Source organism: Homo sapiens, chromosome 1 (genome assembly GCF_000001405.40).
Source record: "Homo sapiens chromosome 1, GRCh38.p14 Primary Assembly".
NCBI classification, from domain to species: Eukaryota; Metazoa; Chordata; class Mammalia; order Primates; family Hominidae; genus Homo; species Homo sapiens.
The window spans coordinates 220,165,512-220,178,477 of NC_000001.11; the positions used below are offsets into that span (position 1 = coordinate 220,165,512).

Consider the following 12,966-nt stretch of genomic DNA (forward strand, 5'->3'; position numbering starts at 1 on the left):
CATATCATCATTGCCAATACACACTGTGTTGAAATTTCTCTGAAGGTAATTTTATTGTTTTGAGCCTTATAAAATTGTGTGTGTCAAATGGTGGAGCTGAGACTGGTTGGATGGGGCAAGATGAATATTTAATGGGAAAAACAAACAAGTAAAACAACAACTTCTTTTAAATGTAAGCAACATTAATGATACTGATAACACTAGTCAAAATGTTAGGCACTATGCATTCATTTTCTCAAAATATGCAATAACCTTTTGAGATAACTACTATTACAGCCCTCATTTTAGGAGAACATTGAAACGAAGAGTTCAGAAACCGTGTGCTATGAGGATTACAAGCTCTATGCAGCAACCATGGGGCTTGACGTCAGCTTTGTCTATGTCCCCTCTGCAAGCTGCCTTTGGTTTATAAACAAATACTACAAAGCAGAATTTTCTTCTTAAATGCCACTTTTTTAGACTTGAATTTGAAATTAATTCAGATTTTAGAAATTATTATTTTCTCATTCTAGACATAACATTCCTTTTTAATAAAATGGAAAAGTAACACATTTAAGTAGAGAGCCTAAATATGATCGCCATTCAGGCTGTAGTCAACTGAAGAGGGTGATTTGAAGGGCATTAAGAGGATTCCTCTGTCCTAAAATCATTTTTTGGTCAAGGTTTAATTGATCAAAGACTATTCCTTTATTTAAATCACTTACTTTCATAATGTCTTCCTTTAATATATAAGTGATTACACAGTTTTTTGGAGGAAGGAAGAGTATCGTTTCCATTAATATATTAGCATGAATTAGTTCATCTGTGAGAGTTCTCTACAATAGTGCAACCTCATATAAGGAAGATAAAGTTAAGAATTTTGATTTGAGAGGAATAATTTACCAGGGAACTGACTAAGGAGGTCTAAGTGAAGGACTGATTGGCAAAGGGGAATATTTACAATATGTTTTTATATCTTATTTGATCATGGCACCTTCATTTTAAAAAGGAGGTGGAAGGAGGTAGAAAATAACAGGCCAGAGATTCAGTGGCCCTCTTGAGCCAGAAGCTTGTCAGCAATTCAGCTGGGATCCAAATCACTGCCTTCTGCCTCCAGGCTTGGGGTCTTCCCCATATGCTGCTTCCAGACTGTGAATGTCCTGGTAGAAACAGTGGCTACCGAAAGCAATAGAAAATGAAGCCTGAGCAGAGAGCTGAGAGGGCAGCAAGGCTAACCTTGGACTACAGTCAACCCTGGTCACGATCTGCCTCTTTGTTCTTCTGAGGCATACAGAAGTAACAGACAAATACATATTTGAACAATCAGACACTAGGTTGATCTCAGGACCTTCACTCTTGACTTTTATCACGATGACTATAATATTAAGAATATTGTGTTCGGTTGGGGCCATTTCATGCAGGAATTCAGAAGGAAATAAACAATATACTTGTCACAACCTAACTAGGGAGTAGAGCAAAGCACACTGGTTTTAGATAAAGAGAACCATATGCTTAAATCCTGACACTTACTTAGCTGTGTGTCTGCAGGGAAGAAACTTAACTTCTCTGAGCCCTAGTATTTTCTTTAGAGTGGGGATACTGACAGTATCTATACTTCACAGGTTTACTGGGAGGATTGTAAGAGGAAATATGTGAAAAAGGTCTACCCTAGTTAGTACAGAGGCATTACAACGGGGAAAAAGCCAGTGTTTATAATAAGCTATTTAATTAGACGGTCCCCATATATGAATAGCATGAACACAGAAGCAGAAATAACATGAAAGAGGTAACGAGAATCTTACCTCTGGATCTTTATTCCACTGAACAACGTACTCCCAGCAGCAATGTGCATGCAAGACATCGAGCTCAAGGCTACAAGGAAACTGCTCATAGGCTAAATGCAGTAAGTCTGAAAGTCAGAAGAAAGCAGTGATGTTATTTTTTTCCTTAATGAACACTTGGCCACATCTTTCCAATTTGGATTTCATATTTCTCATTATTTGTGTATCACCTGGTATGGCTCCTAAGTCCATCTCCATCTCTGATACCTCAAGGAAACTTCTGTTAACACCTTCTTTGGGTTCATCTGGGTTTTCTGCATCTCTTTCTTCATTAGCCAGTTTTAATACTTCAGGGCTGAAGTCCTGTTTAAATATCCACTTGGCTACACTGTCTGCAATGCCACCTATAGTTTGGAGACAAGAAAGAAAATAAAAATTTACAACACACAGGGCAGTGTTTGCCAATGGGAGCCAATTTCCTTACGAAGAGATCTAAGTGCCACATTCATTTCTCAGCCTGAAGCTGACCCGAAAAAGCCATGAGATTTACAGCAGTGTTCCTACCTACCACGCAACTTGTGAGGGCAACAAGTGGGATATTTACGATGTCAGGGCATCCTTATACTCTCAGAAAATATTAGATAAATATAAATGCACATGCATATGTCTATAAACCATATGCTTTCTAAGTTCAAAATACACTTTACCAGAGACAAAAAAAATTAATATATACTTAAAACACTTTTACTTAAATTATAAATGAAAATAGATTGGTTAGTATGACATTTGTCTAGGCTCCTAAGGCCAATATAATATTACTTTTTTGTTTGTTTGTTTTTGAGACAGAGTCATGCTTTGTTGCTTAGGCTGGAGTGTAGTGGTGCGATCTCAGCTCACTGCAACCTCCGCCTCCCAGGTTCAAGTGATTTTCCTGCCTCAGCCTCCCGAGCAACTGAGATTACAGGCGCCCACCACACCCAGGTAATTTTTTTATATTTTTAGTAGAGATGGGGTTTCGCCATGTTGGCGAGGCTGGTCTCGAACTCCTGACCTCAGGTGATCTGCCTGCCTCAGCCCCCCAAAGTGCTAGGATTACAGGTGTGAGCCACTGTGCCCAGTAAATATTCCTTTTTTTTTTTTTTTGAGACAGAGTTTCGCTCTTGTTGTCCAGGCTGGGGTGCAATGGTGCAATCTTGGCTCACTGCACCCTCTGCCTCCCAGGTACAAGGGATTATCCTGTCTCAGGCTCCCAAGTAGCTTGGATTACATGCATGTGCCACCATGCCCGGCTAAATTTTTGTATTTAGTAGAGACAGGGTTTCACCATGTTAGTCAGGCTGGTCGCAAACTCTTGACATCAGGTGATCCACCTGCCTCAGCGTCCCAAAATGCTGGGATTACAGGCATGTGCCACCATGCCCAGCCCTATTACTTTTAATAATCAACAAATTTGCCTATATGAAATATTTATGGGCCTAATTTAGCTATAGCTAATCAACAGCATTATATCATGTCTCAGTCATCAATATAGTACAAAAAATTGTAAACACGCTGAAAAACGTTCCAGATATTTAACGAGTCCTGTTTATTATCGAAAACAAATTATACTCTATTGTTTACCAAAACTTTCTCAGTCTTTCCTCATCTTTTGATTCAAATAAAAACCTTTCCACAAAAAGAATGCTTCACAGTAAATTCACAATTATCAGTGAAAATAAATGTGAGCAGTGTGCTGGGTGATCTAATTTCTTATGTTTGGCTTCTAAATCATTGGAAAATTCTCATTCCAGAATTAAGCCCCTGATTCCATTGCTTAGGTTAATATTCAAATGGCATCCTTACCCTTTCACTAGGTGGCAACATGAAGTGTGGTGAGTTTACAATAAGAAAAAGTTCACAAGTTTTATAAAGAATGAGAAAAGAAGTAAACTAAAAATCTATAAACATGTGGGTATTTATAAACCTCATATACAGTCCTTCCAGTATCAAATGCCTAAAAGAGCTGCTGATAAAAAGTGTGAGCCCCCAAAGACAACTAAAAATGTAAGATGTTTATGTTCCTGCAAGATATAAGCACAGGAACCCAAATGATTCCAGGACAGTAGAAAGTGATGCTTCACAACAGAGGAATAACGTTCTGTGGATATTAGGAGGAAGAAGAGAAAATTTGCAGTTAGTGAATCATGAAAGGTTTCCTGGAGGAGAAGCATTTGAGCTGGACCTTGAAAGATAAGTAAGATTTCGATATCCATGAGTGAGAGAGGCAGGGAAAGGGAAGAGGATAGGTCCAGATCTAAGACGGGAAGCACACGGATGCTTCATTTTAACTAAAATCTAGGAAGCAAATGAGAAAGAAATAGAAAAATCAGTTGGATTCAAAGTCAAAAGTTATTGGAGAGCAAGCTTAAGAGTTTATGCTTTGTTCAGGCAATTCTTGAACTTACTAGTCTCATGATCCCCTTAAAATTACTGGCAACCCCACAGAACTTTGGTTTATGAGTTATGGCTGTCAATCTTTATGGTACTAAAAATTAAAACTGATAAATTAAAAAATATTTTATTAGTCCATTTTGAAATGAAAATAAACTGATTACATGCTAATATTTTATGAAAATAATTACATTTGACCCAGCAATCCCATTACTGGGTATATACCCGAAGGATTATAAATCATTCTTCTATAAAGACACATGCACACATATGTTTACTGCAGCACTATTCATAATAGCAAAGACTTGGAACCAACCCAAATGCCCATCAATGATAGACTGGATAAAGAAAATGTGGCACAGATACACAAAGGAATACTATGCAGCCATAAAAAAGATGAGTTCATGTCCTTTGCAGAGACATAGATGAAGCTGGAAACCGTCATTCTCAGCAAACTAACACAGGAACAGAAAACCAAACACCGCATGTTCTCACTCATAAGTGGGAGTTGAAAATGAGAACACATGGACACAGGGAGGGGAACATCACATACCAGGGCCTGTGGGGGATTGCGGGGCTAGGGAAGGGATAGCATTAGGAGAAATACCTAATGTCGATGATGGGTTGATGGGTGCAGCAAACCACCATGGCACGTGTATACCTATGTAACAAACCTGCACGTTCTGCATATGTATCCCATAACTTAAAGTATAATAATAAAAAAGTAGTTATATTTCCCAATGCAAAAAAAAAAAGGATATTTGGTGAGAAATATGGCACTACTTTACATATTTGCAAATCTCTGTAATGCCTGGTTTATATCTGGATTCTCCAATCAGTTTTGCCATTCAATCTATTGTGCTCTGTGTTTTGGTTGAAGTATAAGAGGAAAATCTGGTCTCATATAGACATGTAGGTGAAAAAAGGAGGACTCCTGAGGTCCTCTGACCACTCTTTGAGAATCACTGCCAATTTTCTTAGGCAGAGGGAAGCACCTAGCAGTTCCTGAGCGTGGAACTGACCAAATGAGACTTTAGAGAAAATTAATTTAAAGGTAGTATATAGAAGGTTATTGTTATTTTTAAATCTGAGTGTATTTTTCTTTCTCTATTCTTTCCGTCATTTCTATTAAAAGAAACCCTCGTAACATAAAAAAATGGATGCAAATGCTCAAATAAACTTCAGCTTACCTTTTCCTCCTTCTAATAACTTTTTAACAGAAAGCCTTGGAAGTGGCTCAGCCTGCAGTGATGACACTTTGGAGGTCTGAGTGTTCCCTTTGCTGTGAAGCAGAGTCTGAAGTATGAGACAATCCTCCAGCTGTTTCAGAAGGAGTTTCCAGTACTCAGTGTCAAGAGAAAGTGCCTCCCAGGAATCAGTGAGGGCCTCTGAATCAGCACCCAAAACTGTTTGGGAAAACTAATAAAAAATGCACTGGTGATTCTTTGCCAAAGATTCTGAATCAATATTAACTTGAATGAGCTTTTAACTTGAAAGCTGATGGATACTGAGGATACATCACAAAGCAACACATACATGCTATTTCACAAATATTACTACTTGGCTGGATGAAACATGAGGGTCAGGAGTAGATTGGAGACTCATGGGCAAGGATGGTGAGTTCAGATATTTATAAGGAGTCCTGCACTAATGGCCCTGACTCAACCAGTATACATTTCAGAGTTTTCTGGGCCATCTTTGGCAAGGGCCAAGTTTTGTCTATCAGTACCATCAAAATACTTATATTTCTTCAGAATGCACTCTTCAACCTAAAAAACAATCTGAAATTTCATCTCTCTCCATCATAATGAACATTTCAAGCAGGCAATATTAAATTTAGCCTATAAACAACAGTGGCTGACAATGTTAAGTGAATCTCCACAGACCTATTTAGGTGTCTCATCCAAATTAACGTTAACACCCCCTGGAAAAAATTATTTGATCCACCATGAGCTGTAAAGGAAATGTGAGTCCTCAAGAGATGAGAAAAAAACACAGTAGGACACTGCCATGTGACAACTGCTAAATTCAAGTATCCACGGCATCATTCTCAATAAAGAAATTAAGGGGAGCACCTCTCATCCCTCTCCCCGCTCCAAAAAACCCCCCGAAAAACCCCAGAAAAGGAAAGCATCCCCTTAGCCTACTGGATGTGTACAGATCAAAGCCATACCTTTACCCACTTACTTTTTTCTCTGTCATGTTGTTTGATATCTGTGCAGCAACAGAATGCCCAACATGCGCAGACAACAGAGCGGCTCCATTGTTCTCAGACTGAATACAGGCTGTGCGCATCTGCTGCCACCATGGGGACACAGACTGAGAATCCCAGGTCTCATCGATGGCCACTATAGGGATAGGAGAAAACAGAAAAATAAACTCTTACCCTGTCAATTTTTTGGACTAACCATTTATGTTAAACATAATGTTAAAACTAAGTTACCTACTGATGTGTTTTTGTATTTCTCAATGAAGTGGAAGTCTAACAATCTATTTTATTCAGAACATTTATATTCCATTTATTTATGATCTTTTAGTCATCTTTGTTCTGAATCAATATAAATCCTTATTTGGAATATTTCATCATTACTGAAAACTGTTGAATATTTTAACAGATTAATATTCTGATAATCATACAAAAAATAACAAGAAAAACATTGCCTTCCCCGAAGACCATTCCATTTGCCTTACTGAGTTAAGATGTATTGTTCAAATCATGTTATTTTTTTATGATGATACAAAATATAAAATTTCATAAATTAAAGCATAAGTCAAATGCATTAAGAGTATTCTATTAATACATAAAAGAATCTCTACGGTGAAATGTTTTGTACACTACAGACTCCTTTTGTTAAGGGATCCTATCCACTCTCCCATCTTTTTGTGACATTTCAAACACGAAACTTTGTTGACGAGAGCAACAAACTTTGTTTACCTTTCATCTTGCTCAGGAGGGACAGCATGGTATGAAGACAGCAGATTGACTGTGGTTTATCCAAAATATCCTTTTCCTTTGAAAGCCAAACACTCAGGAGCAGAGACTGAAATCAAATTTAAATCTTTTTCAGTCTAAAAAAAAATTTAGCATAGACAAAATCTTACACTTTCCTAGACAGCAGATGCATGCATATGGATGATGCAGCTTCTTGAGGTGAAAAAATTAGTGGTTGCTTGCTGTATCATGTAATCTGAGAGGGAATATGAGGTACCTTGTCTACCTAGGAGATTCTCTATAACCTGTTGTATATTTAAACTTCACTGTTTCCAAACCTTCTTTGGGTTAAGCATTGCCTTCCAATCCAAATCTCTATTAAGGAGCATATTACCAGACAGGAGTTACTACTACGTGAGCATAGATCTGCTGTTGATGAACGAGGTGCCACTTGGCTGTAGGTTTTGACTGGAGAGAGAGGTAGGATCTGTAGCTGTGGATCTTAGCCTTGCCTTGGCTGTACAAAGGTATTGCAGACGTGGCAGTGAGGAGCAAGTACATAAAAGTATCAAACTCCAATTTTTAAATCACTAATAAGTTATGAAAAAACAGACTTTAAACCAAAAAACTTAAGTCAACATAAGTGACTTTTAAAATGGCTGTAAACCAGCATACCTACTTGAAGCTGAAATTTTTTTAAGATTTATAAAATTGGTTCACAGATAATTCTGGGATAATGAAGTTTAATGAAATGGTGTTACATCTGTAAGTACTGGTATCTCTGAAAGGCCTTGATTAATTATAATACTGCAATACTTTTATGTGAAAAATAGCTCTAAGTTAAAAGACTGACTGTTAGTTTAAATGAATTATTTCAAATAGTTTTCAAAAATTAAGGAGGGTAAAGAGTTGAAGGAGAAGAAGCACATGAAAGAAGTGAATTTATGAGGACGACTTAGGGCCAGGAGCTGTGATAAGTACGTGACATGCACATCACCTCCTTTTATCCTAATAACTTCTGTGGCAGGGATGATGATCCAGATTTCAGAAATGATGAAATAAGCTCATACGGGAAAGCTAACATGTCCAGCACTACAGTTAATGAGTTAGAACTAAAATTGACACACCTGTAATCCCAGCACTTTGGGAGGCCGAGGCGGGCGGATCACGAGGTCAGGAGATTGAGACCATCCTGGCTAACGTGGTGAAACCCCATCTCTACTAAAAATACAAAAAATTAGCTGGGCGGGGTGGCAGGTGCCTATAGTCCCAGCTACTTGGGAGGCTGAGGCAGGAGAATCACTTGAACCCAGGAGGCGGAGGTTGCAGTGAGCTGAGATCATGCCACTGAACTCTGGCCTGGGCTACAGAGCGAGACTCTGTCTCAAAAAAAAAAAAAAAAAAAGAAAAGAAAAGAACTAAAATTGGATCCATGTTTATCAGATCTCAAATAAATTTAAAAAAAAGAACTAAAATTTGAAAATAAACCTGCCTGATTCTATTAATAACATGCGTATTTTCTCTTCTCCCCCTTTAAAAATGTTCACATGTGTATGAGGATATATACATGTACATATAAATTTATATATGCACTTAATTTTTACACTTACGAAACCACACATATATACACACACACACATACACGCACACTCTTTAATGCCTTCTATTTTTTTTCCTTTTTTGGTCTAATTTCCCTTCCAAGGGCCTCCTCATACCAGCTCCCTTTTTACCTCATCCCATATAGACACCCTTTAAAAAACTTTTTGTGGGTACATAGTAGGTAGGTGTATATTTGTATGTGGTACTTGATATGTTTTGATACAGGCATGCAACATGAAATAAGCACATCATGAAGAATGGAGTGTCCATCCCATCAAGCATTTACCCATTGAGTTGCAAACAATCCAATTACATTCTTTAAGCTATTTTAAGATGCACAGTTATTATTGACTATAGTCACCCTGTTGTGCTATCAAATAGAAGGTCTTATTCTATTTTTTGTACCCATTAGAAACCTTTTTTAAAAAACAAATATATCTTCCATGCTCATAAATAATGACAATGTTAACAACAATAAATGCTAATGGCTACATAAAGGTTACTATGCTCCAAGCCATTAACAGCTTTATATGTATAGATACATATATCGTACTTTTGAGGGAGGATAAGGGGGAGTCACTGTCACAACAATGGGATCATAATTACACCATGTTCCTTCCACTTGCAACCCAATATCCTGTTTAACCAACAAAATTCAGAATGACCTTAGTTTATTTATCAGGGGAATTTCCTCTCTTCTAGACTTCCCCTTAACCTCCATAACCTGATGCTTTTCACCACTAGGTAGGCTGAAAAAATTGGTTGCCTATACAGTTAACAAAGACATTCTATACTCAATCAAAAATAACTCTGTCTCGCTGTTTTATGTGCATGTATACTGGGAAGCAAATCAAAAAGAAATGTTGGGGGAGAGCAGAATTTATCTTATATTTTAGGCTCACTGTTAAATTGCCACTAGATTCACTTTGATAAATTTTACATACAAAATGTCTGACCTGGGCCTGTTATTAAAGTGCATCAGATTTCTTTTCTTTTCTTTTCTTTTTTTTTTGAGACAGAGTCTCACTCTGTTATTTAGGTTGGAGTGCAGTGGCGCGATCTTGGCTCACGACAGCCTCCGCCTCCCAGGTTCAAAGTGCCTCAGCCTCTCAAGTAGCTTGGACTACAGGCGCGAGCCACCATGCCCGGCTAATTTTTGTATTTTTAGGTAGAGACGGGTTTCACTATGTTGGCCAGGCTGGTCTCGAACTCCTGACCTCGTGATTCGCCCGCCTTGGCCTCCCAAAGTGCTGGGATTACAGGCGTGAGCCACTGCGCCCGGCCGGAATACCAGATTTCTAAACATACCTATAGATTTAATGTCTCTTAAAGCTTGGTTCATTTCCCCATCAACAACAAAGTTTCAAAATGCTCATCAAAATTGGCAGCCAGAAGTTTATTTTATATTAAGGCAGCCAAAAAAATTAAATGCCATGCCTTGGACCTCTCTTCACACTATGAATTCCACTTTTCTCTCCAACCAACCTCTCCTCTACCCACCATCACTTGTAATAAAATTCTGAAACAAACAAAAAACCTGCTCTGCTTAACTTTGCTTCTTATTTCTCCCTAGGTTACCTCCTTCTATTTCCCACCCTACAGGTAGTCTCTGTTTATAACCTAGAGTGTGTTTTTCCTGTTTTCTATAAACATTAAAACTTCCAAACAGTCAAGCTTTTGTTTGTATATAGGAGATCAGTATAAAATAGAGGATGCCAAAGAAACTATCAGAACATAATCATATAATTGTAGAATCACTTATAAGCAATATAGATATTTTAAATTGCAGGAAACATTAAGATGAAAGAAGAAAAATAAAGAAGTGAATACAGAGATAAATTAAGTTACCACATAGAAACACATATATGGACACATATAACAGGAGAAGAGTCTAGTGTATAAAGGTAACTACCTCCATAACTAGTAAATACAAAATAAGATATTCTAACAGTCACAACAAAGAATGCCACATTACATTATTCATAATATATTTATATTATGAATTCACATATTAAAATATTAACTGTTATCTCACATATAAATATGTTATATATTGACATATAACCAGATGATGTCTAAATAATAGATTTTGAGTAACAGAAACCTTGAGGTCACCAAGATGGCGGAATAGAAGGCAACCTACTTATATTCTCTCACAATAAGGTGGTTGATCTGTCCCCCTGAACTGACTTCCAGATTGAAGCCCAGAAACAGCCCAGTCCCCACAAGGGGCTTGGCTACTTCCCTGTTTGCCCATGATCCTGCCACCAAAACCATTTGCCATGGGGTCCAGAAAGAACTGTACACACTAGTGTTTTGGCAGAAAGGCTAGTCTGCCCGCTAGCACTGGTCTCAGCAGTGGGCTGGAAAGTAGCCTTGTGGTGCTGCTCTCACCTTCCTTAGCTGAGGTCCCAGCTCAGAGTTGCTTGCATAAGGACCCAGAGGCAGACTCACCCATATCTCTCAGCCCAGGACTCAGAGCCTCCCTGACAGGCTCACCAACCTCTATCTCACAGCAGATCCCCCTCAGGGCCCCCTCACTGCAGCTGGAGAACTATCCTATCTGTGCAGGAACTTGCTGAAGACACATGCCTCTCTGAGCCAACATGAGACACACCAGCCTCCATTCCCACAGCTGATCCCAAGAGGGCCCAGTCTCAGCTCAAGCCCCTCCTGTTGCAGTTGAGGAATTACCTCACTTGTGCAGGAACCTGCTGGGCGACACATAACCATCTGAGCCAACAAAACAGGCCCCCCAGCCTCCTTTTCACACAGATCCTAAAGAGGTCCAGTCTCACTTCTACCCCCTCTAACTGCAGCTGGGGACCCATCCACCTGTGCAGACACCTGCTGGGATGCATACCTGTCGGGGCCACCAGGACAGACTTCTGGACCCAGGTCCCTGGCCAGTATTCCCAAATAGCCTCAGTACCCTCCTTGGGTCTTCCCCCAGTCCATGAAGGATAGAAAGCCACATAAACTTCAGAGCTCTTGAGAGACCTGCAGCAAGCCTGGGCTTAGAGTGATGTCAAGTGTTGCAGTGGTCACAAGCTCAGGGAACATGAAAGTCAGTCAGCTTAGAATCCCTGGAAGGCCCTCTGAGGAAGGTCAAGTACAAACAAAGCCAGACTGTGAAGACTAAAGTACATACCTAATATATCAATGCACAATACCATCGTACTACCACAAGCATCGAGAACATTCAGGGAAACACGACCTCACCAAATGGACAAAGAAAGGCACCAGAGACAGAATCTAAAGTGAGGGAGATGTGTGATCTCTCAGACAAAGAATTCAAAATGGAAGCTCAACAAACTTTAAGAAAACCCACACAATCTATTCAAAAATTTATCAGAGAAATTTTTAAAAGGTTGAAATACTAATGAAAAAAATCAAATAGAAACCTCGGAGCTGAAAAATAAATAAAATTAAAAATGCAATATAGAGCATCAATAGCAGAATTGATCAAACAGAAGAAAGAATCAGTGAATTCGTTGATAGACTATTTAAAAATACATAGTCAGAGGAGAAGAAAGAAATGAAATGAATGAAAAGGAATGAACAAGGTCTATAGGATCTATAAAACAACATCAAAAGAGCAAATATTGGGGTTACTGGAGTTAAAGAGAGAACTGAGAAAGACAAAGGAGTAGAACGTTTACTCAAATAAGTAATAACAGAAAACTTTCCAAACCAGAATATACAGGTACAGGAAGGTCAAGGGTCACCAATCCGAGTTAACTCAGACAAGAATACTCCAATTTACAAACTCATAAGGGTCAAAGACAAAGAGAGAATTTAGAAAACAGCAGGAGAATAGAAGCAAATAACATATAAGATAGATCCAATATGCTTGGTAGCAGATTTCTCAGCAGAAACCTTACAGGCCAAGAGGGAGTGGGGCAGTATGTTCAGAGTGTTAAAGGAAAAAAACTGCCACCTAAAAATACTGTACGTGGCAAAGTTATTCCTTAGAAATGAAAAAGGGAAATAAAAGATTTCCCGAGACAAACGAAAGCTGAGGGAATTTACTGCTATCAGACCTATCCTATAAGAAATGTGTGATTTCTTAGACACTAAAGGGAGTTCTCCAAACTGAAAGAAAATGATGCTAATGTGATTGTCATACTAATATTCTAATCACGGTGCTTAAACCACATATATCTTTAGTAAGAAGACTAAAAGAAAAAACTATCAAAAAACTGACAATTTGTTAAGAGACAATAACATAAAATGATGACATCA

The 12,966-nt window shown here is 38.5% G+C and overlaps 1 protein-coding gene across 1 annotated transcript in view; it reads right to left on the reverse strand.

The window, feature by feature from the left end:
- Positions 1-12,966, reverse strand: part of RAB3GAP2 (RAB3 GTPase activating non-catalytic protein subunit 2) — a 124,161-nt gene that overhangs the window by 17,219 nt on the left and 93,976 nt on the right. The window contains exons 22-26 of the mRNA NM_012414.4: positions 7,126-7,231; positions 6,378-6,538; positions 5,381-5,609; positions 1,991-2,164; positions 1,782-1,888 (exon numbers count right to left, since the gene is read on the reverse strand). Of these exons, the coding sequence (NP_036546.2) occupies positions 1,782-1,888; positions 1,991-2,164; positions 5,381-5,609; positions 6,378-6,538; positions 7,126-7,231 (777 nt within the window). The remainder of the gene's footprint in view (positions 1-1,781; positions 1,889-1,990; positions 2,165-5,380; positions 5,610-6,377; positions 6,539-7,125; positions 7,232-12,966) is intronic.